The following is a 5,698-nucleotide window of genomic DNA, read 5'->3' as shown; positions in this document are numbered from 1 at the left end:
CTGAGAGAGAAAGTATGGATGAGTAAGAAGGGATCTGTTAAAAATTACAAATATATTGTCTGAGTAATACCTTAAAAAGGAGAAAAATCAATTTGCCGCTTAGAGTTGAATATTGCCTTTAACACTGAGCTGTTTGGAGGAAGAGAACTGACATCTGATAAGGTGTCAGGTGTTTGTGTTAGGTGTTATATATTATTTTATTCAGCACTTAAAGCAAACCTGTCATATAGTCTCTTCTATCTTCATTTCATAAACAAGGACATGGGTTTGTAATAGCCGAGAGTCACCTATAACTACCGCTAGGTTTTGAACCCAGGTCCCTATGTGACTCTAAAACATTCTACAATACTTTGTGTCCTAAGGAAATATTAAAAACTCAAATTTATTTGCCAAATAAACTACACATTCTTTTGAAATATTAATTCAAGAAATGATAAAACATTTTATCAACTAAAAGACCTTTTAAAACTCGATAAGAGAAAGGAAGCAAATACATCCCAAATGTGATAATTACTAGGACCACAGGGACCACTAGATGAAAATTAGATTTTTCTCTGCCTTTCTGAGGATGTGCAGGCATGTTTACAAATGACTGCCACTTTATGTGGAGTGTGATCATTCAAACAATTTGAGATTACATATGTGGTATGACTATTAAGTTATTAAAACTTAACCAAATTTATTGCATCTATGGAAGTATTATTTCTTTTATTCATTCTGGGAGGCTCTATATTGTTGCTTTTATATTATTACTTAAAATGTTGGGAGAACACTTTTTAAATTCCCTTTTAATTTTTTTTTTTTTTTTTTTTTTGAGACAGAGTGTTGCTCTGTCCCCCAGGCTGGAGTGCAGTGGTGTGATCTTCACCCACTGCAACCTCTGCCTCCCGGGTTCAGGCGATTCTCCTGCCTTAGCCTCCCGAATAGCTGGGACTACAGGCGCCTGCCACCATGCCCAGCTAATTTTTTGTATTTTTAGTAGAGACGGGGTTTTACTGTGTTAGCCAGGATGGTCTCGATCTCCTGACCTCGTGATCTGCCCACCTTTGCCTCCCAAAGTGCTGGGATTACGGGCTTGAGCCACCGCGCCCTGCCTAAATTTGAATTTTATATGGTTTTGAGTAAATGATAGGGTACAAAGTTCAAAATGTTTGGAAGGATACACAGTGAAAGGTCTCAGAACCCTCTCCTCTCTTCCTTTTACCTGCAGCCACCTAATTTTTCTCAGAGGTGACTGGTGTTATGTGGGAAATACTTCTTTGAAATTAACTTCAGAATTTTTGAATACTTGCAATTAGGATATATGTAACCAATGACGACAGATTTGACTTCATTTTTTAAAAACTCAGTTCATTTACGGTCTGGCAAACAAAGGAATCACCAGTTTAAGTAATATATTTTTTAAAAATCAAAAGCAAAGATGTCTGCAGAGTAATGAGATTTGTGGTGTGATTCATAAATTGGCCTAAAATCAATGATCAGAGTTGCAGAGCTAGTAGCATTAAAGAATAATTTTGTAAAATAACTTGAGATAATTAACATACAATAAACTGCACATTTGAAGTATATAATTATGGCAAATTTTGACATATGTGTATAACTGTCAAACTGTCACCCCTAGTTTTGGTAGTTATAAATAAGATAGTGAACATATTCATCATCTCTGAAAGTTTGTTCAGGCTCTTTTGTAATTCGTCACTGTCTTACCTCTATCCGTTGTTCCTAGATAACCAATGATCTGCTTTTTTTTTTTTTTTTAAACCAGTGATCTACTTTCTGTCACCATAGATTAGTTTACCTTTTCTAGAATTGTGTATAAATGGGGTCATGCAGTGTATGTGTGTACTGTTTTTGAAGTGGGGAAGAGTCTAGCTTCTTTCACTCAGCATAATTGAGATTCATCCGTATTATTGTATGTATCAATAGTTTATTTCTGTTTATTGCTGAATATTATTTATTCTACTGTATGGCTGTACCACAATTTGTTTAACCATTTACCTGATGATGGACATTTGGGTTTCCACTTTTGGGCTATTACAAATAAATCTGCTAAGAACATTTGTGTACAAGTATATTCATGTGGACATATGCTTTCATTTTTCTTGAGTAAATACGTAGGCATTGAATGGGTGGGTCATATGGTAGGTGTATTAGTCCATTCTTGCACTGCTATAAAGAAATACCCAAGACTAGATAATTTATAAAGAAAAGAGGTTTAATTGGCTCACAGTTCTGCAGGTTTTATAGGAAGCATGATTTTGGCACCTGCTCAGCTTCTGAAGAGGCCTCAGGAAACTTAAAATCATGGCAGAAGGCGAAGGGGGAGCCAGCACTTCACATGGCCAGAGCAGGAGGAAGAGAGAGACGGGGGAGGTGCCGCACACTTTTAAACGTCCAGATCTCAGGAACACCACCAGGAGAGCAGCACTAGAGGGATGGTGCTAAACCATTAGAAACCACCCTCATGATTCAGTCACCTCCCACCAGGCTGCAGCATTGGGGCTTACATTTCAACATGAGATTTGGGTGGAGACACAGATTTAAACCATGTCAGTAGGTGCATGTTTACCTTTGTAAAAAATTGTCGAACATTTCTGAAGTGATTGTACCGCTTGACACTCTCTCATCAATGCAATGTATGATGTTTTAGTTGTACAACATCCTTGCCAACATTTCAGATGTTGATGAGATGTCTTTTCAAATCTCATTTTGTTTCTTTCACTTTTTGAAGGTGAAAAGGAGGGAAGTTTATTTTTTTGAGCAGTTTTAGGTTTATAGAAAAATTGAGTGGAAAGTAGGGAGTTCCCATATATATTCTCATCCTCTTAACTCCCCTCCTGGTTTCCCCTGTTATTAACATCTTGCGTTAGTGTCGTACCTTTGTTATGGGTGATGAGCAAATAATGAGGCATTATTGTAAACTAAAGTCCATAATTTACATTAGAATTAACTCTGTTGTATATTCTGGGGGTTTTGACAGATACAGTGTTGTATAGTATAGTGATGTATATCTGCTATTACAATATCATACAGAATGATTTCACTGCCCTAAAAATCCTCTGTGGTCCACCTGTTCATCCCTGCTCCCCTCCTCCTGAATGCCTGGCAGCCACTGATCTTTTTACTGTCTCCATAGTTTTGCCTTTTCTGAAGTGTTACATAGTTGGAATCAATAGTATCTAGCCTTTTAAAAATTTTTTTTTTTTTTTATTGTTTTGGAGACAGGCTGGAGTGCAGTGGTGGAATCTTGGCTCACTGCAACCTCTGCCTTCCAGGTTCAAGCGATTCTCCTGCCTCAGCCAGTCAAGTAGCTGGGACAAGCATGCACCACCGTGCCCGGCTAATTTTTGTATTTTTAGTAGAGACGGGTTTTGCCATATTGGCCGGGCTGGTTTCAAACTCCTGACCTCAGGTGATCTGCCTGCCTCGGCCTCCCAAAATGCTGAGATTACAGGTGTCAGTTACTGTGCCCAGCCTCAGATTGGCTTCTTTCACTTAGTAATAAGCATTAAAGATTCCTTCATGACTTTTCTGTGACTTGATAGTTCTTAATATTCCGTCATATGGATATGCCACACTTTATCTGCTCACTTTCTTAAGAACACCTTGCTTCCAAGTTTTGGCCATTATGAATAAAGCTGCTAATAAAATTCATGCATAGGTTTTTGTGTAGATCTAAGTTTTTGACTCATTTGGGTAAATACAAAGCATGATTACTGGTTCATATGGGAGTATGTTTAGTTTTGTGAGAAACTGCCAAACTGTTTTCCAAAGCGGTTGTACCATTTGACATTCTCAACAGTAGTGCATGAGCATTTTAGTTGCACGGTATCCTTGCCAACACTTTGGATGGCTAGTCTTTTGTAATCTTGTAGTTTTGGTTTGCATTTCCATGATGACTAATGATATTGAGCATCTTATCTTATTGACCATGGCTTTATTTGCCATCCTTAATGTCTTTTTGGTGAAGTGTATGTCCTAATCTTAATGTTTGTCTTTTTTTGTTGGGTTGTAAGAGTACTTTAGATATTCTGGATACAAATATTTTGTCAGGTATGTGTTTAGTACATTTTTTCTCGTAGTCTGTGGCTTGTGTTTTTATTTTTTTAATGGTGTTTTTTGAAGGGTAAACATTTTTAATTTTTGAAGTTCAATGCATTTTTTTCTTTTAAGATATGTACTGTACTTTTGCTCTTCAAAAGACACCATTAAAAAATGCAAAGAAATCTTTGCCAAAGTCAAGGTCACCATAATTTTTTTCTACAAGTTTTATAGTTTTAGTCCTTATATGTAGGTTTATGATCTATTCTGAGTTAGTTTTTGTCTGTTATGAGGTGACAGCTGAGGTATCCAGCTGTTGTACCACAGTGTATAGAAAAGATTATCCTTTCCCCATTGAATAGCCTTAGCCCTTTAAAAAAAATTAACTGGTCATGTATATATGGGTCTGTTTCTAGATAATCTGTTTCATTAACCATTTATCTACCTGTATGCCAATAACACACTGTCTTGATTATTATAGCTTTATAATAAGTCTTGAAGTTACATAATTTAAGTTCTCTTTCTTCTTTTTCAAACTTGTTTTAGAATTTCTAGGTCCTTCACATTTCCTATTCTGTTCTGTTCTATTCTTCTGTATTCAACAGGGTCTCCCTCCCTTGCCCAGGCTGGAGTACAGTGGCGCAATCATTGCTCACTGCAGCCTCGAACTCCTGGGCTCAGGGATCCTCCTGCTTCACCTTCCTTAGTAGTTGGGACTACAGGAACATGGCACCATGCCCAGCTGATAATTTTAATTTTTTTGTAGGTATGAGTTCTTGCTATGTTGCCCAGACTGTCAATGTAAATTTTACAATCAGCTTTTCAGTTTTCACAGTATTGGCTGCCAGGATATTTAAGATTTCATTGAATTTTGTAACAACATTGAGTCTTCTGGTCCGAACATGGCATTTTGTTCAATTTATAGGTCTTTGATTTCTCTTAGCATTCTTTTCTAGTTTTTTAAAGATCTTGCCGTTCTTTTGTCAAACTTCTTTTGAAAAATGTCTGTTCATGTCCTTTGCCCATGTTTTAATGGGATGATTATTTTATTTTTGTGTGTGTGAAGTTGTCTGAATTCCTTGTAGATTCTGGATATTAGTCCCCATTGGATGTATAGTTTGCAAATATTTTCTCCCACTCTGTAGGTTGTCTGTTTACTCTGTTGATTATTTCTTTTGTGTAGAAGCTTTTTAGTTCAACTAAGTCCCGTCTGTCTATTTTTGTTTTTGTTGCCTGTGCTTTTGAGGTTTTAGTCACAAATTCTTTGCCTAGACCAGTGTCCAAAAGAGTTTTCCCTAGTTTTCTTTTCGTAATTTCATAATTTCACATCTTACATTTAGGTCCTTAATCCATCTGGAGTTGATTTTTGTATACGGTGAGACATAATGATTCAGTTTCATTCTTCTGCATATGATAGTCCAATTTTCCCAGCACCATAATTGAAAAATTACATGCCTGTAATCTCAACACTTTGGGAGGCCAAAGTGGGAGGATCACCTGAAGCCAAGAGTTTGCAACCAGCCTGAGCAACAGTGATACACTGTCTTTAAAAATAAAAATAAAAAATTAGGCTAATAAAAAATTAGCCTAAGCCAGGCTCACATGTTTTTAAGCATTTTTTTTAGCAATAAATAATTTTTAAATTAAAGTATATACA

General features: G+C 36.5%; 1 protein-coding gene across 5 annotated transcripts in view; it reads left to right on the top strand.

The window, feature by feature from the left end:
* The window catches only part of MAP3K2 (mitogen-activated protein kinase kinase kinase 2), an 89,798-nt gene that overhangs the window by 26,339 nt on the left and 57,761 nt on the right, over positions 1 to 5,698 (top strand). The window lies entirely within an intron of this gene.

Source organism: Homo sapiens, chromosome 2, assembly GCF_000001405.40.
Source record: "Homo sapiens chromosome 2, GRCh38.p14 Primary Assembly".
NCBI classification, from domain to species: Eukaryota; Metazoa; Chordata; class Mammalia; order Primates; family Hominidae; genus Homo; species Homo sapiens.
Note: the sequence above shows the minus strand (reverse complement) of the source record. Positions and strands in the feature narration are given on the sequence as shown.